A 26,451-nucleotide genomic window follows, 5' to 3' on the forward strand; every position below is an offset into this window, starting at 1 on the left:
GGCTCTATCAGAAATATATGTGATAAATCTTCCCCAGATATTTACCTGAAGGGAGTCAGCCATTTACTAGAGTATATTTGCACTTGGAGAGAGTGAAATACCAGACACTTTTAAAAGAATGTCAGATATAGAGTCAGCTGAAATTGATAGTAGAGGACAAAGAAAAACTATCATGATTTTCCAGCTGAGAGTGGGATATACTTAAATAAATAAGTTATGTGAACAATGTGTGTCAAGAGGGAATTGAATTGGCATTGGCGTCAGTATATTCAGGAGAGGCTGGCCTAGAGTAGAAAGAAAAAATAAATTGTATTTATACATTTATTTAATAAATAGTGCTTGAATATCTACTATTCACCAGGCTCTGGGGAATAGACACTGTAGACACAGTGGTAAACAAGGAAAAGGAGTATGTGCTTACAGAACCTATATTCTATTTGAGGAAAGGGAGAGATAAGTAAGCAAATTCACATAATGAAAGCAAAATATAAAATAAAAGTGTACTCCTGAAGAGGAATTTCTCAGTGACATGAACAAAAAGAAAGCATGTTTTCTGTTGTATTTTAGGTTGAATAACTAGGGATGTTGAATAACACTGGAGAAGAAAAGCAACTGTAAAGACTCCAAAGCAAAGTTAGTGTTCAAGAAAGAGTCAAGCACTCAATGGGGATAGAATTGAGTGAGCTGAGAAAATTCAAAGGCCATCATGTAATGCAGATTGTCATAGGCCAGATCACAGAGGGTCTTTTAGGCCATAGAGAAGACTTTGAATTATTCTAAATGCTTTGAAAGTTATTAGAAGGATTCAAATTTCAGTTAATTTGATAAATGTTTTAAACCTATATGTAGTATAGACTTGAGGCTAAGTGTGATGGGGACAGAGAGAGGAGGTGTGAAAGCAGTGAGATCAGTTGGAGATACTACAGTAACCCAAGTGGTCTTGACAGTGACTTGAACAGAGCAGCATTGATAGACCCAGTAAAAAGAGATTAAATTCTGGAGATGTTTTGAAATACACTGGAGGACTTGTGAAGGAAAAAGAACATACACTATCCTAGAATTGTGTTCTTATGAAAAGGTGGTGAAGACCTCAGGGAAAGGGGGCACATTTGGAGACACAAATCAGGAGTTCTTTTATTAACATGTTTAAATTTAAGTGTCCGTAATAAGTAGGCAATTTAACATAGAAGTCTATAAACAAGGGAGAGTCTAGTTTGGTGATATTAATTTGGTGATCATAAGCATAGACATGGTATTTATGGCCATAGGCCTATATAAAATTATCCAAAGAATGAGTGTGAATGAAGAAGAGAAGGCAAAATGTATGAACAGTGTGAACTGCTGACAGATATAATAGAAAAAAGAGGAAGGGACAATGGAAGAAACTGTAAGGAAAAGTCAGTTGGGTAGGAGAAAATGGATTTGGTAGGGAATACATAGATAGCTTTGGAAAGTTGCCTGTGGCTACCATAACAAGTGTTACAAGCAGGGCACTGATGTTGGAATATGATGTGGGTGCATTCCATCCTTTAAGCTAAAATGAAGTGAATATAGTCACGTCCAGGATAGTGTACAAAAGAATTGACAGATATATTGACAATGCAGAGATTCAACTAAGCTCACTCACATATCTTAGAATTTGTGCAATTCTGTATATAATTTACAATATCCTGAGACCCTGAGCAGTGACCATCAGAGCCATGGTGGTTCCATTCAAAACATGGAAATGGGTTTTCTCTGGTCTATGAAAAAAAATGTATTTTTTGACGCATAAAGGGTCTGTATTTCTCAGACGCAAATCAGGATGAGCTAATCCTGATAGCACTTGGGTTTTTGTAAACAATTTTATATAAAATTATATTTCCCCTTCTCTCAGAAGACGGTTGCAATTGTTGTCAGAGGAAATCAAGACAAATAAAATGTGGCTACCTTGCATAAGGTTGCATGAAAGAATTCCCACAATAGCTGTTTGCTAAAGGCAGTGTTTTATAGTCTTAATTATAACACAACTGGAAAATCATAGAGTGCATATTCAAATTCATTTACCTTATTTGTTTTTCACCCTTAGGTACAATATTGTAAACAACTGTATTTGAAATCTGAAACAGATTTATTTCACACCAGTGTTTATTCATTCTTAGTCAAATGGACTTCCTTCTAGCAGTATGTCATCATGTATAATACTCTGGCAAGCCAGCATTTTCATTTCATTAAATGGCATATATTTTATGGCTCCAAATGCTTTTTATTTGTTACTGAAGAATCTAGTAATAATTGTACAATGTGAACTCCTGATTACTAGGAGGATATTTTTGCAAAGTAAATAGTTCACTAATTACCACCTTCATAAACATTAATGCATATGAATAAAAGACAAATATACAGGAAAGCCATCACAATATTTTGGCTTTACCACTACGTGAAAGTCTAGTCATCTCTGAGAAGTAGATACCCACTTATTTTGAGTGAAGTGAAATAAACCAAATAAAGCATTTGATAATGGATATAATGAAGTCTAATTAGAAAACTAGACAGATGGATATGTTTTCCCATATCTGATTTTCACATCTCTTTGGGAATCTAAAGCAATTCTAGCATTACATATTAGATTTCTTGTTGTCCAGATTTCAAGTCAAGGTGTAATAGCAGCAGAGACGTGAATGTATTAGTGAAAAATTAGCTTTCAGGAGTTAGGATTGAAGGTCATAGAGAAGATGGTGATTCCCCCTACTAATCACTTGAGTAGGACTTGCAGTTTGTTCTGTGCTACATCTTTCCTGTGTCATAACATATCGAAGGAAGTCACAGATGAGCTAAAACTAAACTCTTCTGGGAAAGGAGATCTGACGACCTACCTCTCAAAGATGCATTCATCTTCAAATGACATCCTCCCTACATTTTATTGGATTCTATAATTCATTTTGGGGAGACAAATGAACTGGTAAATTATTTTAAAATGTTTCACCACTCAAAATTCTAGGCAAAAAGTAGAAAACACTAAAGCACTCTGCATTTATTTACAAAGAGATTTCATAAAGGGAAATATGAAATGATACCAAAATCACTGGAAGAAATGGAGAAACTCATGCTAGTCAGGTACTTAAGGAATGACACCCAAACCCTAAGAACTGGCCTGCCAAGAAAGCTACTCTCACTGAAGCCACCACAAAAGCCATTGAGATGATGATCATACTGCCATAGTTACATTCCAGACAGCAGAAAGCCAGAGAGTCAAGAAGCCATCACTACCACAAATGTCTCCTAACATACAAAGTTGGTGCTTGGACTCAGGCACATGATAACTGCCTATCTACAATGAGGAAGCTGGAGAAAAGAAGCTGGAATACTTCTGCAGAAAAATTTCACATCTCCAGGACCTTGCCTACCCAGAGAAAACAGCAAAAGGACCAAAAAATGGTATCATTCTCACTTAGATTTTTCAAATTTCATATGGGTGGACCTTTCTGGTGGAAATCAATAACATCAAGAACCTTAGCTATAAAGGAGTATTGTAAATGTAATTTTTTAGTTTTTCAATATTTGCATTGGGAACACTACCGGAATGTTGATGGAATGAAGGAGGAGGAAAGCAACCTGCGATACCTACCACACATGCAATTTAAAAACACGTACAATTTCAAATGCAAGTAGTATAAGAGAATGCTTTTCACTTTAGATTGCATACACTCATATGCTGATAATGTTGCCAACATTTCCAGATACTCATCCTTCTCTAAAGTTTAATTAAATTTCATTGGACAACAGTTATGGAGTAAAGTAACACAACATACTGTGTTTCTTCCAGTTTCTAAATCTTTGTTAAATGTTATGTATGTTTTACTGGGAACTTATTTTCTCACATTTCATGACAAGCATAAAGATTAACCACTCATTCATATATATTTAAACATCAATAGTGGTGAGAGCACAAACTATGGAAGTTGATCGTTATTTTGAACTAGTAAATAAGTGTTTTTTTATTTTTTTGGTACTCACAGTGACAATAACGAATCTGACTTTTCTGGACAATAGGATAATTGCCATAGTCTGAAAATTTTCCTATCTCTTAAATGATATATTAAAGTCAATTTTTAACAATTTCCTCTTTCGATCTATCAATATTAAATAAATCTCTTTTGAAATAATATTAGGAATCAACATTTAAAATTGATTTATTTGCTTGTTTAACTCCCTTAAATAACATTATCAAGGTCCTGAGTTTTACATAATATGGCCTGAAGACTGAAAATTCAGTAGTGGGTGAATCTGGCACCCCTTGTTTTTTGTACCCTGACAAAACAGTCTATTATCCTCCTTGTAATGAAGGCAAACTTTTAGGGCCTTTATTAGTACTTTTGAAACAGGAAGTGCATTAAAAAGTCAAAAACTGTGGGATGGGTGGCTGCCTTTACAGCACTAAATATCTTCAGAAAAGAGAATGACAAGGGAAAGTCTTCAAAATATCTATCATTTTGGCTCAAGGTACAGGAAGAAGCATTGAGACTATAACAATATTAAAGTAATTGCCAAACTTTCAGTATCACAGGACTGACATCTCAAACAGCACACTCAGTTTTAGCCTGGATATTAACAAAGTTTGACATCAGGTGAATTCACAGCTGCTTCAGGATTGTTAAATGAAGACTATGGCACTGACAAGGAAAAAGGAATCCAGAACTGGGATAGACATTTTGTGGGAGATTCAGAAAATTCAGCACACCCTGAGCCCACAAACAGAATTGGCCAAAATTTTCTTGTTTCTCATTTGTCTTAAATGTATTCTTTCATGAAGAAGACACTGTCATAATAAAAAAGGAAGCCAATTCTCTCCATACTCCATCCTTGCCCTCCCCATTATCTCCAGATCCATAGCCAGAGTCATGTCATAGCCTGCTTCCAAATGGTAAGAAGGAAGTTAAAGTGTCAGCCCAGGAAAGCTAAGAGGCATATGCCAACTTTTTTTATTACCTTTGTTAATTTATATTAGCAAAGATTTGAGTAACCAGAAGGAAAATTAATTTAAGGGCACTAGAAATAGGGGAGAATAATGTTGCATGAGGCTATAATTTTAATATGTGTGCACTTACTACAGATCTCAGGATCAATGTGTGACCCTGAACATTTGAGAATGGTTTTATTGGCTTTCTCAGTTGGGTAACTGAAATGTTTACCAAAGCATGGCCTTTGCCAAATAGAGTTGTGATGCCAAAAAAAAAAACTTGATATAATGTAGAGGAAGGCATCTAATTATTCTGTGAAGCAGGAATATTCGAGTGGATTTGCCAGTTATGGCTCAACCACCCACCTAACTACTTCCCAGAAGACATGCCCGTCTCAAGATAGACCTTGAGAAATGCGTTGTTGCTGGGAGCACCAGTAGCTTTGAAATTATTTAAATGAATACATTATTTAATTGGGCTAGAGTGTTAGAGATGCTTCAATGCTGCAGGTGAAATGGACTCCCTGATTTTGGTGGCCAGAAAGTTACTAGGTAGGAGAATCAAAAGAGTGACATAAATACTAGGAGCAGATTTGTATGAATAACCACTTCAGGCAGCAGAACATCACAATTATTACCATCCTTTAACCTCTAGTGATCTTTATAGCAAGCACTTTGACAACAGCATTGATATAGAATGTGTACTAGGAAGGATCATACTGTATTTATACAGCTTTATATATTATATTTATATTGCTAAAAAAAAAATCCAAATTGGATGTGCAGAATTCTGAAGCGATTCACTACAGTGGAGAGTCATAACTTCTCAATAACGCTCCAGAACTAAATTCCTTAGCAGACCTGGTATCCTTGAATTAAGAGGATGTCAGGCACTTATGAGGAAAGATCCTATAATGAAATCACAAATAAATACTAAGAATATACCTCCTAGCCTTCCCCAGAAGAACTTGTCAAATTTACTACTGGGAACTGGCTCAGACTTGATACTATTTCCCAGCAAATAAGTAAGAAGTCATGGAGGCTTAAATAAAACTGCAATTTTGGTCTGTTTTTGGCATCCCCACTTCTAAAGTGTATGGTTTCTGAAAATAATATAAGCAGTTGGCAGAATCTTGGGTAAAAGTTATAAAAGGAGGAGCCAAGCTACTATAGTTTATCTTCTCTAAGAAAACTATAAATAAGAAGCAATACTATATCACTAGAAAAGTCAGAGATAAGTACCACCATGAAAGACTCTGAAGATGCAGAGTAATGATTTATATAACGGCCCATTTAACTCTCTGATTTGACCAGTTTCAAAGACAGATGGGTCTTTGAGAATGACTGGATTATTGTAAGCTTAATTAGGTGGGGTTTCTGATTGCAGCTGCTATTCCAGATGTGAAACTGTAGAAATCAGTAGAAAAGGGCAGACAAAAATTGATATTTTCACACTAGGATAAAGTTTTACTAGCATTTCTTGCTGTCTCTTTTATACGATGAAGAGATACTCTAATGTAAAAAATACACGCTAATTTCTAGTCAATGTGTTATGGACTTCCTGGAATTTTCTGGAATTTGGGAGGAGCTAGAAGCTTTAGAGAAGATATTAAAAGATGTACAACTCAGGAATAGGTTCAAGCCGTGGGAATGATTCTGTGCCACATGAACATTTACTAAGAACTTCACCACAGAGGAAGCCATTAATATTAGGGTGTTCAAACTGACTCAATCAGAAAGTTAGTGTGGCTGTCTTTTGCCACTCCACTGCTTATCTTCTGGGCTTATAAATACCACACCTAGGGAGAGAGCATCACTCTAAGTGCCAGATTTTTATTCATTTGCTCCTAGTTGTGTTCCCTTCCCTGGTCCTTTAAAATTATGCTTTCTAGGATCCCCTAACAAGAGGCTTCAGTTAGAGTCAGGCAATGGGAAGCCCTGGAGGAAGATGGGCGGGCAGGAGGAAAGGATAAAACAGAGAATTTGTCCTTCTCCCTTTCTCCACTTGCTATGGAATCCACAGAAGTAGATTGATCGCTGTTGTGTCAGTTTCTGCCAGGAAGCCCTAGTTCTTAGAGTCCAGTAGCCCCTTCATCTTCCCCTTCTGCCTTAAAAGTGGTAATGACTAATTCCTGATTGTCTCACTGAAACGCTGGGTGGCTCTCGGGCTCTTCTAACACCTTTGTAATAAGTTCCTTGTATGGAAATAGAAGGAACTTTTTTGAACTCTCTCATATAAGCTCTGTTTTGCTAAATGGTTTCTGACCAGAACATCCAGCTTCTGGGGCATATGCAAATAGGTTCTGGTTAAAACCTCCATTGCTTCCATATCAATGGCTTCTTTTTCCTCCCTAATCAAGTCTGTGTTTGAAATACCAACTGCCCAACTTCTCTTTTTTTCTAATTCATTTTCTGAACCTGTTCTCCTAATCTTTAAGCAGTTCTGCGATAACCTGATAACTTTTCAATAAGTTTCTTTTAAAAAAGCTTACTACAGAAATGCTTAGAGCAAGATGGTGGAATGGAAGCCTACACCACTCATAACCCCAATAAGAACACTAAATTTTTACAACTATCTGCACACACAAAAAACCATCATTTCAGGAACCAAAAATCAGGTAAGTAATCGCAGTACCTGGTTTTAACTTCTTATCATGGAAGGAGGCATTGAAGAGGACAGGGCAGACAGTCTTGAATCATAGATGTCACCCCTCTCTTATTCATTTGCAGTGGCCACATGGAGTGGAGAGTCTATGCATTTGGAGAAGGAAGAGCATAGTGACTGGGGGACATTACATTGAACTCAGTGCTGCCCTATCATAATAAAGAGTAAAGCCATGCTGGATTCAGCCAGTGCCTATGCATGGAGAAACATCTGGACCAGACCTGGGTAAAGGGGAACCACCCATTTATCAGTCACTATTCAAGTTTCTTGGCAAGCCTTGCCGCTATGGACTAAAGTGCTCTGGGGTCCTAGGTAAACTTTAAAGGCAGTCTAGGGCAAAAGGACTGCAACTCCTAGGCAACTCCTAGTGCTGGGCTGGACTCAAAGCCAGAGGATGAGGGTGGCAAGTGGCCTAGGGAGACACCAGCCAGCGTGGCTAAAGAAGTACTTATTCCATCCCTCCCACAATGCCAGGCAGTGCAGCTTACAGCAACAAAAATTGTTCCTTCCTTCTGTCCAAGGGGTGGAGAGTGAAGAGTAAAGAGGACTTTGTCTTGCATCTTGGATACCAGCTCAGCCACAGTAGAATATAGCACTGGGAAAGATGTGAGGCCACCATTCCAGGCCATCACTTCCAGGCATTTCTAGACATACCCTGGGACAAAGGGGAACTCACTGCCTTGAACTAAGCACCCAGTCCTAGAAGGATTCATCATCTGTTTACAAAGGAGCTCTTGGCCCTGAATAACCAGCAGCAATAACCACATAGTAAGCTATGGGCCTTCGGCTCTGAGGCATGCTTAGTACAGATGTGACCCAGCACACTCCCAGTTGTGATGGCTATGATGAAACACTCCTTCTGTTTGAAAAATACAGAGGGGAAAGTAACGGGGACTCTGTCTTGCACCCTTAAGTATCAGCTCAGCCACGATGGGGTAGAGTAACTAGCCAGCTCTTGGAGTCCCTGAATCCAGACCTAGGCTGTTGTACAGCATTTCTGGACTTGCCCTGGGCCAGAGGGGAGCCCACTGCTGTGAACCATGAGTCCCAGGATTGGCAGGATTCGACACAAGCTGACTGAAAGGCCCTTGGGCTTTAAGTGAACATTGCCAGTGACCTGGCAGAACCCCCCTGTAAGCCCATGGTGGTGGTGCCCAGAGGGAAAGGCTCTTCCACCTATGGATAGGAAAGCGCAAGATGGAGTTCATATTGCGGTTTGAGTGCCAGCTTAGCCACGAGAGAATAGAATATCAGGCAAATTTATAAGGATTTTGGCACCAATTCCTGGGTTGCAGAAAGCATCTCTGGATGTGCCCAGTGCCTGGGGGAACTCACTGCTCTGAAGGGAGGAGAACAGACCTACCTGGCCTTGCCATCTGCTGATTATAGAGCCCTAGGGCCTAGAGTGAACATAAGTAGTAGCCAGGTAGTAGTTACAGCAGGCCTTAGGCAAGATCCAGTGCTGTACTGGCTTCAGGTCTGACATAGTGCATTCCCAGTGGTGGTGGCCCTATGGGTAATTACATTGCTACATCCCCAGTTCCAAACAGCATAGTGCAGAGAGAGAGACTCAATTTGCTTGGGAGAAAGTAAAGGAAAAGAACAAGAGTTTCTGTCTGGTAGTCCATAGAATTCTTCCAGATATTATTAAAGACCACCAAAGTTATACCCCCTATGAGTCTGCAAAAACAAGAGCAATATTGGACTTAAAGCTAAAGTCCCTTCAAATACCTGGAAAGCATTCTCAATAAGGACTGGCACAAAAAAAGCCTAGGCTGCAAAGAATAAATACCTAGCTCATTAAGGCCCAGAAACAGATGAATATCTACAAGCATCAAGATCATCCAGGAAAACATGATCTCCCCAAATGAACTAAATAAAGGACCAAGGACCAGTCCTAAAGAAACAGAGATATGTGACATTTTAGACAGAGAATTTAAAATGGCTGTGTCGAGGTAACAAAAAAATTTAAGATAACACAGAGAAGGAATTCAGAATTCTATCAGATACATGTAACAAAGAGATTGATATAATAAAAAAGAATCAAATATGAATTTTAGAGTTGAAAAATGCAATTGAAAAATGCTGACAAATACATCAGAGTCACTTAATAGCAGAATTGATCAAGGAGAAAAAAGAATTAGTAAACTTGAAGACAGCCTATCTAAAAATGCACAATCAGAGAATACAAAAGAAAAAAGTAAGAAAGCATGCCTACAAGATCTAGAAAATAGCCTCAAAAGGGCAAATCTAAGAGTTACTGGCATAAAAGAGGAAGTAGAGAAACAGAGAGGGGTAGAAAATTTATTCAAATAAATAATATCAGAGAACTTCCCAAACTTAGAAAAATGTCAGCACTCAAGTACAAGAAGGTTATAAAACACCAAGTAGGTTTAACCCAAAGAAGACTACCACAAGGCATCTAATACTCAGACTCCCAAAGGTCAAGGATAAAGAAAGGATCCTAAAAGCAGCAAGAGAAAAGAAACAAATAGCATAAAATGAAGCCCCAGTAAGTCTGACAGCAGATTTTTCATTGCAAACCTTACTGGTCAGGAGAGAGTAGAATGACATATTTAAAGTGCTGAAGGAAAAAACTTTTACCCTAAAATAGTATATCCAGCAAAAACGTTCTTCTGGCACAAAGGAGAAATAAAGGCCTTCCCAGGCAAATAAAAGCTTAGGGATTTCATCAACACCAGTCCTACAAAAAATGCTAAAAGGAGTTTTTCAATGAGAAAGAAAAGAATGTTAATGAGCAAGAAGAAATCATCTGAAAGTACAAAATTCACTGGTAATAGTTAACACACAGGAAAACAATGAATATTACAATGCTGTAATTGTGGTTTGCAAACTACTCTTATTTTAAGTAGAAACACTAAATGAGGAACCAATAAAAATAACTACAACAATTTTTCAAGACATAGTACAATAAGACATAAAGAGAAACAACAAAAATTTAAAAGTAGAGGATGAAGTTAAAGTGTAGAAGTTTTATTAGTTTTCATTTTGCATGTTTGTTTATGAAATCAGTGTTGTCATCAGTTAAAGTAGTGGGTTATGAGATAATATTTGCAAGTTTTATGGTAACCACAATTTGAAAAATGTACAACAGATACACAAAAAATAAAAAAAGAAGAAATTGAGTCTTACCACTAGAGAAAATATCTTTCACTAAAAGGAAGACAGGAAGAAAGGAAAGAAGGAAGAGAAGACCATAAAATAAAATGGCAAGAGTAAGTTTCTACTTAGTCATAACATTGAGCGTAACAAACTAAATTCTCCAATCAAAGACATAAGACTGGCTGAATAAATGAATAAACAAGACCCAACTGATCTGTTGCCTATAAGAAAAACAATTCACCTAAAAAGATACACATAGATTGAAAATAAAGGGCTGGAAAAAGATATTCTATGACAATGAACAACATAAAAGAGCAGGAATAGCTATGCTCATATAAGAAAAAATATGTAAGATGGAAACTGTAAGAAGAGATAAAGAAGATCATTATATAGTGAAAAAAAGGAATCAAGCAAGAGGACATAATGATTATAACTGTATATGCACCCAACACTAGAACACTCAGATGTATAAAGCAAATATTATTAGAGCTAAAGAGAGAGATAGATCTTAGTATAATAATAGCTGGAGATTTCTACACCCTAGTTTCAGTATTGGAGAGACCTCCCAAACATAAATTCAACAAAGAAACATCAGACTTAATCTGCACTATAGAATAAATGAACCTAATAGATATTTATAGAACATGTCATCCAAAGGCTGCAAAATACATATTATTCTCAGCAAAAGAATCATTCTGAAGAATAGACCACATGTTAGGTCACAAAACAAGTCTTATAATATTCAAAAAATTGAAATAATATCAAGCATCTTCTCTGAAAATAATGGAGTAAAACTTTTAATAAGCACATGAAAATTAAACAATATGCTCCTGGATGACTAGTGGGTCAATGAAGAAATTAAGAAGGAAATAGAAAAATTACTTAAATGACAATGGAAACACAATATACAACACCTATTGAATATGGTAAAAGCAGTACTAAGAGGGAATTTTACAGCTGTAAGTGTTAACATCAAAAAAGAAGAAAAGCTTCAAATAACCTACTGATGCATCTTAAAGAACTAGAAAAGCAAGAGCAAACCAAACCCAAAATTAGTAGAAGAAAAAAAATACTAAAATCAGAGCATAAATAAATAACTTTGAAATGCAGAAAACTATAAAAGACCAACAAAAAGTTTTTTTTTTAAAGAGATACACAAAATTGACAAATCTTTAGCCAGACTAATAAAGAAGAAAGGGGAGAAGACCCACATAAACAAAATCAGAGATGACAAAGTAGAATTACAACTGATACTGCAGAAATTCAAAGGGTCATTAGCGTTACTATGAGTGACAATATGCCACTAAATTGAAAACTCTAGAGAAAATGGATAAATTTCTAGGCACATATAACCTACCAAGATGGAAGAAATCCAAAACCTGAACAGACCAATAACAAGTAACAAGACCAAAGGTGAAATAAAAAGTTACCCAGTAAAGAAAAGTCCAAGAGCTGAAGGATCCACTGCTGAATTCTACCAAACATTTAAAGAAGAATTAATGCCAATCCTACCTAAGCTATTCTGAAAAATAGAGGAGGAGGAAATACTTCCAAACTCATTATACAAGGCCAGTATTACCCTGATACCAAAACCAAAGACACATCAAAATCAGAAAACTATAGGCCAATGTCACTGATAAATAATGATGCAAAAATCCTCAACATAATACTAGCAACCCGAATTCAACATCACACTACAAAGATTATTCATCATGCCTAAGTGGGATTTATTCCAGAAATGCAAGGATGCTTCAACATATGCAAATAAATCATGTTATGCCTTATGTCAACAGAATGAAGGACAAAAACTGCATGATCATTTCAATTGATGCTGAAAAAGCATTTGCTAAAATTTAACATTTCTTTATGATAAAATCCATAAAAACTGGCAATAGAGGAAATATAGCTCAACATAATAAAAAGCATATACAAAAGACTTACAGCTAGTATTATACTGAATGGGGAAAAACCACAAACCTTTCCTCTAAATTCCAGACCATGACAAGGATATCCTCTTTCAAAACTGTTATTCGACATAATAGTGAAAGTACTAGGTAGAGCAATCAGACTAGATAAATAAATAAAATGCATCCAAATTGGAAAGGAAGACGTTGAATTATCCTTGTTTGCAGACGATATAATCTTATATTTGGAAAAGCCTAAAGACTCCACAAGAAAAGTATTAGAATTTATAAACTTAGTAAAGTTGCAGAACAGTGATCAATCTGAAGAAGAAATTAAAAAGTATTTCCATTTACAATAAACACAAATAAAAATAAATACTTAGAAATTAATTTAAAGAAGAGAAAGATCTCTACAATGAAATCTATAAAACACTTATGAAAAGAATATAAATTACTCAAAGAAATGGAAAGATATTCCATGTTCATGGATTGGAAGAATAAATATTGTTAAAACGTCCATACTACACAAAGAAATCTACAGATTCAATGCAGTTTATATCAAAATACCGATGACATTTTTCACAGAAATAGAAAAAAGAATTCTAAACTTCATATAGAACCACAAAAGACCCAGAATAGCCAAACCCATCCTAAGCAGAAAGAACCAGCCTGTAGAAATCACATTACCTCATTTCAAATTATACTACAGAGCTATAATAACCAAGACAGCATGATACTGGCATAAAAACAGTCACATAGACCAGTGGAACAGAATAGAGAACACAGAAAAAAAAAAAAATCCATACATCTACAATCAACTCATTTTCGACAACTGTGCCAAAAACAAACATCAGGGAAAGAAAAGTCTCTTCAATAAATTGTGCTGGGAAAACTGAGTATCCATGTGTACAAAATAAAACTAAAGACATCTCTCTCACCATATTAAAAAAAAATCAAAATGGATTGAAGACTTAAATCTAAGACCTCAAACTAGGAAAAAATTGTGGAAACTCTCCAGGACATTGGACTGGACAAAGATTTCTTTAGTAATACCCCACAAGCACAGGCAACCAAAGCAAAAATGAACAAATGGAACCACATCAAGTTAAAATGCTTCTGCACAGCAAAGAAAATTATCAACAAAGTGAAGAGACAACCCACAGAATGGAAGAAAATACTTGCAAACTACCCATCTGACAAAGGATTAATAAACAGAATATATAAGAAGCTCAACCAATAGGAAAAAATATAATATTTCAATTTAAAAATGGACAAAAGATTTGAATAGACATTGCCCAAAGGAGACATACAAATGGCAAATAGGCATATAAAACGGTGCTCAACATCATTAATCATCAGAGAAATACAAATTAAAATTACAATGAGATGTCACTTCATCCCAGTTAAAAGACTCGCATCCAAAAGACAGGCAGTAAAAAATGCTGGAGAGGATATGAAGAAATAGGAACTATTGTACATTGTTGGTGGGAATGTAAGTTAGTATGATCATTCAAAAAACTAATAACAGAGCTACCATATGATCCAGCAATCCCACTGTTGTGTGTATACCCAAGGGAAACGAAATCAGTATATTGAAAATATATCTGCACTCCCATGTTTGCTGCAGCACTGTTCACAATAGCCAAGATTTGGAAGCAACCGAAGTATTCATCAACAGATGAATGGATAAAGAAATTGTGGTGCATCTACACAATGGAGTACTATTCATCCATAAACGAGGATGAGATCCTGTCATTTGCAACAACATGAATGGAACTGGACGTCATTGTGTTAACTAAAATAAGCTTGGCACAGAAAGGCCATCATCACATGTTCTCACTTACTTATAAGATGTGAAAATCAAAACAATTGAATACATAGAGATAGAGAGTAGAAGGATGGTTACCAGAGACTGGGAAGGGTAGTAGGGGTTGGGGAAGGGGTAGGTGGAAGTTGTTTATGGGTACAAAAAAATAGTTTGAAAGAATGAACAATACCTAATATTTTGCAGCACAAGGTGACTATAATGAAAATAATTTAATTGTACATTTTTAAATAACTAAAAGAGTACGATTGGACTTTTTGTAACAAAAGGGGTAAATGCTTGAGGGGATGGATACCCCATTTTCCATGATATGATTATTGCACATTGCATGCCTGTATCAAAACTTCATGTACCCCATAAACATATAAACATATGTACCCACAAAAATTAAAAATAAGAATTTTTTTAAAAGGCTACTAAAGTCCATTTCTGATACTTGAAATTAAGGTTCTGCATGGGAGCCAGGAAGGTGCACCACCAGGATAACCCTTCCAGGAAAGTACTTTCCAATCTGCTGCAACTGAGGCACCCAGCTAAGACATACTGGAACATTTGGACCAAAGCCTCTCTTTTGCTGCACACTTCTCAGCCAAAGGTCAATAAAGCATGGCAAGTGTGCTAGGGCTTGCCCAGGTTTGCCCAATGTGAGACTTGTCTATAGACAATATTGGAGCTTGGGCTTCCTGTAAGTCTCCAAGACACTTTCAGAGCCACACTAAACCTGAAACTCTAACTTCTTATTCTTTCTTCCTTTACTCTTTTCATAGCTATCAAACTTTTATGATGGTCTGAAGATTTTGCTAGTCTATCTCTTTCCCTTTTACCCTTCACGGGCACTATTTCCAACAAATTTCTTGCACTTTTTTTTTTTTTTTTTTTTTTTTTTGAGACGGAGTCTCACTCTGTCGCCAGGCTGGAGTGCAGTGGCGTCATCTCAGCTCATTCTCCTGCCTCAGCCTCCAGAGTAGCTGGGATTACAGGCATGCACCACCATACCCGGCTAATTTTTGTATTTTCAGTAGAGATGGGGTTTCACCATGTTGACCAGACTGGTCTTGATCTCCTGACATCAAGTGATCTGCCCGCCTTGGCCTCCCAAAGTGCTGGGATTACAGGCATGATCTACCACGCCCGGCCAATTTTTTGTACTTTTAACTCCTTCTTAGGTTGTGCGTCCTGGTTAATCTAACCTGTATGTTCTGTCAAAAACTGTCAGGAAAATGATGAGAATCTGAGGATTACTATAGGTCCCGATTGTCTAAGAAGATGATCAAAATACGCTTAGTCATGGAAAGGATTATTTTTGGCAGCCACACAAGGGCAAAACATTGATTAATTTATTATCTATGGCCACCCAGAATGAAGGATTCATTGAACAGAAGGCTTCGGTGAACCAATTAGTCACTTCAATGGAATTTAATAAATCAGAAGCAGTTTTATGTTTAAGAATCTTATCTAATACAACATGCTTTCCTTCTTAAAATATATAACTGTCAACAAGAAAGAAATGATAATTCCTTCTCTACCTCTTTTATAGAATCCTACAGTAAGTGTGCATTCCCCATTCCCCCATAAAAAGTAAATTTGGAAATTAGTGCTCTACAACAGTAATAATATTTTTTACTGTGGATGACAGTGTTTTAATGAAACAATTTTTTCTTCAGTGACAGAAAAATATGAGAAAACAGTCTTACCAAAAAAGAACTGCTAATAATTTTGTTACTTCCTAACAGGAATATTTTAAAAATATTAACTAAAAATTATCTAGCATTATATTCTACTTTCTTTTTATCACCATTAAAGCAGCCAGTCTCTGCTGTATTCAGTGTCACATGACAAAAAATACATTTTGTTCTGAGCTTTAACTTTCAAATGTAGTCCCACATAGGAAAATAAATAGTGTATATCGTAGACAAATTTGGAGGGGAAAGAATTTTGAATAAGAGTAACTTATCTCTTATTGCCAACGTTAAACTTATTTTAGTTGGAGGGAGCCTAAGTGTTCACAGTGATTTTACAAACCCTGATGATCCCTGAGAAAAGGGAATGATATCGAGCTCCTTTAAAAGGTGTCTGGAGAGACGGCAAATCCCAAGCAGATTTTGGGATACAGAAGCAGAGAGTTCTTCATAGAGATTATGAGAAAGCAATCCCCCGAAAAGAAACAACTCCTTGATATAACTAAGCAGACCAGGCTTGAGACCATCTCAGAGTTTTTTTTTTTTTTTCCAAAATATAGAATGATTCCCATATCTTAGTAAAAGAAGCAATTGGAAATAATATGGCTGTGCCAGAATCACAGACCCCTATGGGACTGCGTGACTAAGCATATATTTCATTAAAAACCAAAGATAGTACATTCCTTGTCGGTAAATTGAATGAATTCCAAACACTATAGTCTACTCAACATTTTCTCAACCTCAATATCATATTATAAATCTAGTAATGTAAAGATCTAGACTAATCTACTTCTACATAAATTATCAAAAAATGCTTACTAACCCTTCAAAAAATTAATGAATCCAGGAGCTGGTTTTTTGAAAGGATCAACAAAATTGACAGACCGCTAGCAAGACTAATAAAGAAAAAAAGAGAGAAGAATCAAATAGACGCAATAAAAAATGATAAAGGGGATACCACCACTGATCCCACAGAAATACAAACTACCATCAGAGAATACTACAAACACCTCTATGCAAATAAACTAGAAAATCTAGAAGAAATGGATAAATTCCTTGACACGTACATGCTCCCAAGACTAAACCAGGAAGAAGTTGAATCTCTGAATAGACCAATAACAGGAGCCGAAATTGGGGCAATAACCAATAGCTTACCAACCAAAAAGAGTCCAGGACCAGATGGATTCACGGCCGAATTCTACCAGAGGTACAAGGAGGAACTGGTACCATTCCTTCTGAAACTATTCCAATCAATAGAAAAAGAGGGAATCCTCCCTAACTCATTTTATGAGGCGAGCATCATCCTGATACCAAAGCCGGGCAGAGACACAACCAAAAAAGAGAATTTTAGACCAATATCCTTGATGAACATTGATGCAAAAATCCTCAATGAAATACTGGGAAACCGAATTCAGCAGCACATCAAAAAGTTTATCCACAATGATCAAGTGGGCTTCATCCCTGGGATGCAAGGCTGGTTCAATATATGCAAATCAATAAATGTAATCCAGCATATACACAGAATCAAAGACAAAAACCACATGATTATCTCAATAGATGCAGAAAAGGCCTTTGACAAAATTCAACAACCCTTCATGCTAAAAACTCTCAAGAAATTAGGTATTGATGGGATGTATCTCAAAATAATAAGAGCTATCTAGGACAAACCCACAGCCAATATCATACTGAATGGGCAAAAACTGGAAGCATTCCCTTTGAAAACTGGCACAAGACAGGGATGCCCTCTCTCACCACTCTTATTCAACATAGTGTTGGAAGTTCTGGCCAGGGCAATTAGGCAGGAGAAGGAAATAAAGTGTATTCAATTAGGAAAAGAGGAAGTCAAATTGTCCCTGTTTGCAGACGACATGATTGTATATCTAGAAAACCCCATTGTCTCAGCCCAAAATCTCCTTAAGCTGATAAGCAACTTCAGCAAAGTCTCAGGATACAAAATCAATGTAGAAAAATCACAAGCATTCTTATACACCAACAACAGACAAACAGAGAGCCAAATTATGAGTGAATTCCCATTCACAATGGCTTCAAAGAGAATAAAATACCTAGGAATCCAACTTACAAGGGACGTGAAGCACCTCTTCAAGGAGAACTACAAACCAATGCTCAAGGAAATAAAAGAGGATACAAACAAACAGAAGAACATTCCATGCTCATGGGTAGGAAGAATCAATATCGTGGAAATGGCCATACTGCCCAAGGTAATTTACAGATTCAATGCCATTCCCATCAAGCTACCAATAACTTTCTTCACAGAATTGGAAAAAACTACTTTAAAGTTTATATGGAACCAAAAAAGAGCCTGCATGGCCAAGTCAATCCTAAGGCAAAAGAACAAAGCTGGAGGCATCACGCTACCTGACTTCAAACTATACTACGAGGTTACAGTAAAAAAAACAGCATGGTACTGGTACCAAAACAGAGACATAGATCAATGGAACAGAACAGAGCCCTCAGAAATAATGCCGCATATCTACAACTATCTGATCTTTGACAAACCTGAGAAAAACAAGAAATGGGGAAAGGATTCCCTGTTTAATAAATGGTGCTGGGAAAACTGGCTAGCCATATGTAGAAAGCTGAAACTGGATCCCTTCCTTACACCTTATACAAAAATCAATTCAAGATGGATTAAAGACTTAAATGTTAGACCTAAAACCATAAAAGCCCTAGAAGAAAACCTAGGCATTACCATTCAGGACATAGGCATGAGCAAGGACTTCATGTCTAAAACACCAAAAGCAATGGCAACAAAAGACAAAATTGACAAATGGGATCTAATTAAACTAAAGAGTTTCTGCACAGCAAAAGAAACTACCATCAGAGTGAACAGGCAACCTACAGAATGGGAGAAAATTTTCACAACCCACTCATCTGACAAAGGGCTAATATCCAGAATCTACAATGAACTCAAACAAATTTACAAGAAAAAAACAAACAACCCCATCAACAAGTGGGCGAAGGACATGAACAGACACTTCTCAAAAGAAGACATTTATGCAGCCAAAAAACACATGAAAAAATGCTCATCATCATTGGCCATCAAAGAAATGCAAATCAAAACCACAATGAGATACCATCTCACACCAGTTAGAATGGCAATCATTAAAAAGTCAGGAAACAACAGGTGCTGGAGAGGATGTGGAGAAATAGGAACACTTTTACACTGTTGGTGGGACTGTAAACTAGTTCAACCATTGTGGAAGTCAGTGTGGCGATTCCTCAGGGATCTAGAACTAGAAATACCATTTGACCCAGCCATCCCATTACTGGGTATATACCCAAAGGACTATAAATCATGCTGCTATAAAGACATATGCACACGTATGTTTATTGCGGCATTATTCACAATAGCAAAGACTTGGAACCAATCAAAATGTCCAACAATGATAGACTGGATTAAGAAAATGTGGCACATATACACCATGGAATACTATGCAGCCATAAAAAATGATGAGTTCATGTCCTTTGTAGGGACATGGATGAAATTGGAAATCATCAATCTCAGTAAACTATCACAAGAACAAAAAACCAAACACCACATATTCTCCCTCATAGGTGGGAATTGAACAATGAGAACACATGGACACAGGAAGGGGAGCATCACACTCTGGGGACTGTTGTGGGGTGGGGGGAGGGGGGAGGGATAGCATTGGGAGATACACCTAATGCTAGATGACGAGTTAGTGGGTGCAGCGCACCAGCATGGCACATGTATGCATATGTAACTAACCTGCACATTGTGCACATGTACCCTAAAACTTAAAGTATAATAATAATAAATAAATAAATAAATAAAAAATGCTTACTTAGTAACATAAAAATACTGAATAATTTTAAATTATTATTATATTCCTATCATATAAGAAATAATTTTGAATAACTCTCCAAGTACAAAGAGCATGGGCTTTAGATCACACATCTTAGTATGAATCCAGTTATTAGTTAATAATTGGCAGACTTCAATTTCTAGCCTACAAAATTTCTTCCATACTTGTGAGATTAAATTCAATGTACATAAAGCATCTAACAGAGTTCTTAGCACATAGTTGGCTCTCAAAAAATTACAGCTGAAGGTGTTCTTTAAAGAAATGAATACTGGCCACCAGACAAGGCTAGGGAGTATGCTGGCCTGGGAATGCTAACTGGCTGCCTCCCAGGAAGACTCAGCACCACATTTACCTCGCTGAAATTGTGTTGGTTCACAGTCTGCCCTTAAACTTTGCTTACTCAAAACTTGGTTTGTCAGCATATCAAGAATGCATCTGCTTTTTAGGTGTAGGCTTACATAAAAAACTCCTTAAGACCGATCATAAAATACAGAAATAATTGGTTTATAGTGATGACAATAACTTCTGAAACTACTACGTTGGTGTCCTCAGACAATGTATTTTCTACCTTAAAGAAAGAACTGCTTGGAAACTTAAATGAAGGATTCCTTAGTTTCTATTTGAATGTGTTTACTTTTCACATGAAGGATGATCAGAAAAATCATTAAAGTCTCTTTACTTTAACCAGCTCTTTGAACATCAATAGTTACAGAATAATTGCAGAAACTAACATTTGGCTCTGTCCAAATTCTGATTATACCATTACCAGGGCAAATGCAGTCGATGTCAATGGCTCTCACTTCATATCTAAAAAGTAGCATCATTTTTGTTTTTACTTTAATTTGCATTTTTGGGGAATTAGTTTTGCCGTCCTTGAAATAAAAATATTTGGAATGTCCTCTGACACATGATTTTAAAGATTGATTTACACCTTCTACTTTGAAGACCCAGTAGGTTGCAAAAAGGAGGCAAAACTAACAAAGGCAAAGAAAAAACTTGAGAAAAGTAATGCCAATAGACAAATGGTAACTAATGTGCCTGCTCTGATAAAGTGGAAACTCAAGCGACACAGACACCAAAAAAACAAGCTGATCTCCTTTAGAACCCAGAAAAAGCAAGATGAATTGGAAAGCCTTCAGACTCTGAAAGCAGACGTAGCAGTAAGGATAGAAATGTGGTAATTGAAAGTTTATATAAGTACCTATTGGTTTTCAGGATTCCCTTTTGGTGACATTAATCACAGGAGTGGATGGTGGGGATGGAGGCCTAGGACACGTGACAACAGAAGGTATCATATGGAAAACCAACCATATCTAACCCTTTCCCTCAGTCATTTTTGAAAATGTTTGCAGCCAGGTGTATATTTTCCAGGTAAGAGACAGATGATTTCATTATTAAAATAAGTATAAACTTTGAGTTATATGGATCTACCCAGAATTTTGGGGGTCCCACTAGGTCACATGCATTAGTGATAAAATGACAGATAGAGAAAGAGAGAGAATATAAGGAATTAACTCACAAGATTATGAAGTCTAAGAGGTCCCAAGATCTTCAGTCAGCAACATGGAGACACAAGAGAGCCAAAGTTGTGGTTCAATCCAAGTCAAAGTCAGAAGTCAGGAGATCAGTGTCATAGCTGAAGACTGGCAGAAATTAACTATCACATTACCGTACTATGAATCCTACTTGACAACAAGTTTTCTTTTCCTCCAAACACAACATTTCCAATCAAGATTCTGTGTGTTTGTTTTAAACATAAACATATAAGAAAAAACCAGTAGTCATTTCAGAAAATCATTTGATGTGAAAGAGACCAAAACAAACAAAGAAAAGTCAGAGAAATTAAGGAGGGAAGAGAGGATAAGAAGACTCCAAAGGCTTTACTTAATATCCTAGGGACAAAATTGAAGATGTTGCCACTCTGAAGAAAAAGCATGGAAGACTACTAACAGACAAACATTCAGATAGCAAAAGAGAAACTTAAGAAATTAGAAATATAATAGTAAATATGAAAAATCTTTACCACAGGAAATATAGATTAAAATATAAAATAGGAAAGAAAGGATAAGAAGATTAGCAGGAGGTTTAATAGTAAAACAATATGAATTAAAAACAAAAAACAGAAGAAACAAAGAGAAAGAAACTATCAAATAAATAATAAAATATCAAAGAACCAAAATAACTGAACTTTCAGATGTAGAGGTATAATTTGCTGTCCAGCACAATAGATAAAGAAAGATACACATCAAAGCACTTAATGGAATTTAAGAAAACTATGTTTAAAAAGAAAGAGAGAAAGAGGGGGAGAGAGAGAGAGAAAGGGAGGGAGGAAAAGCTGCAAGTTTCAGAAATCAGAATGGCCTCAGACTTCTCAATGGCAACATTGGAAGTCAATGAAGCATCATCATCAAACTTTAGAGAAAAACTAAATTTCATCCTAGAATTCTAGGCATCATTAAGCTCTTAAGTTTGAAAATAGGATAAAAATATTTTCAGATAATCAATAGATCAAACACTCATTTCTTAAATCATTTCTCAGAAAGTGACTTGAAGAATTGCTCTGGCAAAATGAAGAATTCAGCCAAGAAATAAAAAAATTTCCCCTCCATCTTTCCCCCTCCCCACCATAAGAGGGTTGCTACCAAGAAGAGCCTTGAAGGGAATCCATGGGATGGTGATAAATGTAGCTGCCGGGATGATGTTGCTTACTGGACCTGACAACAATCAGATTGGAACAGCTGGAGGAAAGACTCCAAGAGTGATATCCGAGAAAAGATAAAATTGATTAGTGAACTTGTTTTTTGTTTGTTTGTTTGTTTTTAGTGTGCTAGGAGGAAACATATTTGGTAGGTGAAGTGTGAAAGATGCATTAAAATAGTTGAATAATTAGAAAGAGGGTGTGAAATACATTTTTGAACTCCAAAAATAGGAATGAGGAAGAAAGGAAATAAACTTGCTCTCTTGCACAGAGTAAATGGCAAAGAAGAATTTCTTGTTATTTTTGTTAGATCATTCATCTCTTCACATCTTCATATCATAAGAACTGCATAGTGATAACTACAAAATTATAAACAACTGTATGGGAGGATGGGAGAGGTAACTACCTGTATCAGGGTTAGGTGTAGTAGAACTAGGTCATCATTCGTAATAGGATGTAAATAAGAAATAGCAATATAAACTAATTTGGATATTAATGCTAAAAGAACCAGCTAAGAAAGTGTGATGAAGGTGAGTGCAGAGAGAAGACTTGCTGAAGGCAGGCTGGGAGGAAGGCAGGTTAAAGATAACTGCTTTTTTTTAAGGAATATAGGTATGTGCCCTTGTGGATATATATGTCCATATAATAAAAATGTAAATTTAAAAATTGTTAGTAAATTGCTTAAAATTATAAGCTAAGAAAATCCACATGCCCCACTCCAGGCCTGAGACATCCATGTGCCTGCCTCTAAAGAGATTGTTCTGTTGAACCCATCCCCTTCCACTTGCAGAGAGGTTCTGTATATACATCAGCCATGTTTACCTCTGAGACCCCCCTTTTCCTGTCTCTCAGGCCAAGCAGCACTTCTCTGAAACTATACAATCGAATCTTTCTTTAGATATGTTAATACATAAATCTGTTACAGCAAATCTTCCAGGTGAGGAAGTCATTCTGTTTCCAATGAGTAAATATTCGTGCATCTGTGCTCTAATCCCTCTGTGGTAATTTTTATACTTTAATTTCCTAATTTTATTTGCTTCATTTCAAGTTTCTGGAGTATGTTTTCCTCTAACTCCTCAAAATTAGAAACAGTAAGAACTCTGATTCGAAAGCTATACCAGTACTTATCATCATTACCACTTTCTTACTCCTTAACAACCTGTTTTCAACATATTAACTCATGCTTATGCAATTTATTTTGCTCTTAATGTTTTCACTTCCCCACCACTATGAATGCAGGAGCTAAGCATCTGTATTTTTAAGACACTTTTGCAATGTACATGTTCTGTTCACAATAGAAGTTAATTGACAATTAAAAAATATTTTTATAGCTGTTTGCTGAATGCTTAATATATTAAATTGACAGCAAATAGTATTAAATCATTTTGGGATTTATTATCTACAAATGTAATCTCCCTTACACCATAAAGAGGGTAAAAAATCAGTAGCCTGTGAGTTTTATTAAAATTTAATACTTTAAGAACTAAACCGATTTTTACAATAATGTTAATATAAATTTGACCCTAGAGCTCAATTAATTTTTGACCATATTCCAAGGACAATAAATAAAATCATATGAAGATATAGTGAGATAAATTCTGCATTTCTTGCTAGCTCAGTCAGTTCTGAAGACACTAACAGGAAAGAGGTTACACAAATCAATGATTTCACCCCTTGTGGAATTGAACAGGCCGTATCTCCTCTCAGCACTAATGCTCACTCTGTAGAATTCCTTTGCAAATGCTGACCAAATGTATTTGAGACAGGAGGGACGGGGCTTGGCTTCAGCTCACCCCTACTAGAGCATCCTTTCATGCATTCCCACTGATCACAAAACCCACACCACTACCTCATTGATAAACCATGGTTAAACCGTAATGTTTAACAATGCCTTTTGCTTACAGAATTCCAGGAACTGGCCTCGGGAGATCTAAATAGCAAATACACGTTGCAGATTTACAACCTTGTTGCCATCAGCCAGACAACCAGGTGGCCCATTATTCAAGATAATCATCACAACCAGATATGCTGACCAGCATACCCTCCCCGCAACCCAGCTGGAGCACCTTATCTGTGATGTCAATTCCTACACTTTGCATAATAAAAACTCCCTGAGTGCTTTGTCAGGAAGTCAGCCAGAGGATCCTTCCACCTTTGCTATCTTCCTTGTGTTTGAGCACAAGCCCTGAAATAAAACCCTTCTCTGAGAAATATGCCTGGCCCAGGGTTAATTTTCATTATATGTGGAGCTAAACAGCCTATGGTCTGTAACATATTAGCAATGGGTCTATCTATGAACAGCCTTTAAGAATAACGCTAACCAACATTTTCCTCCAAATCTAGATATAGATTACATGTTGTCATTGAGATTTTAGGATAGATTTAAGGATACACAAAAAATATGTTCACTGTACATAGACCGTGATTTTAATAATATAAATCTACTCCACATGAAAATATGACATATATCATATTCTTCTTATCAATACATTAAAATATCAATTTAGTGATTTCATTAATTTTTAAAAATTCACAATGTATTTAGTTTTTTATTGGAAATGTACTTTGGATTTAGTGATTATCTCACATTTTCTAGAGTAAGTTGAGAAGGTTGCAGTTTGTTTCTTTAAGTCAATTTGAATTAATTTATCTGCCAACTAGAAATAATAGTTTTGTTTTGTTTTTAAATATTAGCATAGAAATCCTGGGTTATCTATCAATGAATGATTGGAAGAACCAAAAAGCTAAAAGAAAGCATGGAGATTCTCCAAAAAGGGAGAAACACTAGATATCATTTAATAAAACCCTTCTAAAATGAGAAGTACTAGAAGTATGGTCTTTGAATTTCTGCCTAAATAATTTCAGGAAAATGATAGCCTTGAATTTGCATGTATTTAATCTGATTAAATCAAAGTTCTTCCTTATGTGACACTGTAGTTTTTACTCCATGATATCAGTTCTACCTTCTACTTCTAAATGAAAATTCCCCCAATATTTGAAGCCTTACTATGAACCTTGCTGGTCTTCTACTTCACAGTATAAATATTCTCAATTTCTCATTTATTCCCTTATAAAACAAAGTGTCTTAATCCTTTGCTAAATGAAGGTCTGATTTTGTATGGTCTCAGGGTCAAATATCTCTCTTAAAATTCATTTTCCTGGATGGAAGAGAATATTCTAAAAGCAGGACTCATCCAAACAAATGATTTTCAAGATTTAAACTCCCCCTTCCCCCCTAAAAATTGGGGACACTTATTATAATGCTTTTGCTCATATATTGGTATATTTGGACTAGAATCTCAAAACCTAAATACTTAAGAAACATTCCAAAGAATTCTGACCTCAATTGTTTGCAGAACACATTTTAAGAAGCACTAAGCTAAGTTTTTGGAAACAAAAAAATTATATCAACATGTTCTTCATACTATTGGCTCACATTAAGCCTTAAGGTAAACTCAAACTGAGCTTCTGTTTATCCAAGTATCCTAGTCCTGTACTTCTGGAATTTATCTTTATATCATAAATTTAGAATTTGCAGGTTTATCTGTTAAGATTCTTGTTAATTTAGGATTGCAAGTTAAGATTGTTGGGTGAAACTCTTGAACCTTGATTCGATCACCTAAAATATTAGTCTCCCTTGCCAGTACTGCATCACTTACAAATTTGATAAATGTTCCTTCATCCAAATCACAGTTGAAAATTTATAAGGCTAAACAGAGAATCTTATAACATGTCACAAGACACCTCCTTCCAAGGTGGCAATCATTTAT

The 26,451-nt window shown here is 36.1% G+C and overlaps 1 annotated feature.

The window, feature by feature from the left end:
• Window positions 24,485-25,011: an enhancer, noted in NCBI's record as "OCT4-NANOG-H3K27ac hESC enhancer chr4:44058850-44059376 (GRCh37/hg19 assembly coordinates)". NCBI's record gives its function as "activates a minimal SCP1, AML or CMV promoter by ChIP-STARR-seq in primed H9 embryonic stem cells {active_cell/tissue: H9 hESC(primed)}" and the evidence as "EXISTENCE:reporter gene assay evidence [ECO:0000049][PMID:30033119]".

Source organism: Homo sapiens, chromosome 4 (assembly GCF_000001405.40).
Source record: "Homo sapiens chromosome 4, GRCh38.p14 Primary Assembly".
NCBI lineage: Eukaryota > Metazoa > Chordata > Mammalia > Primates > Hominidae > Homo > Homo sapiens.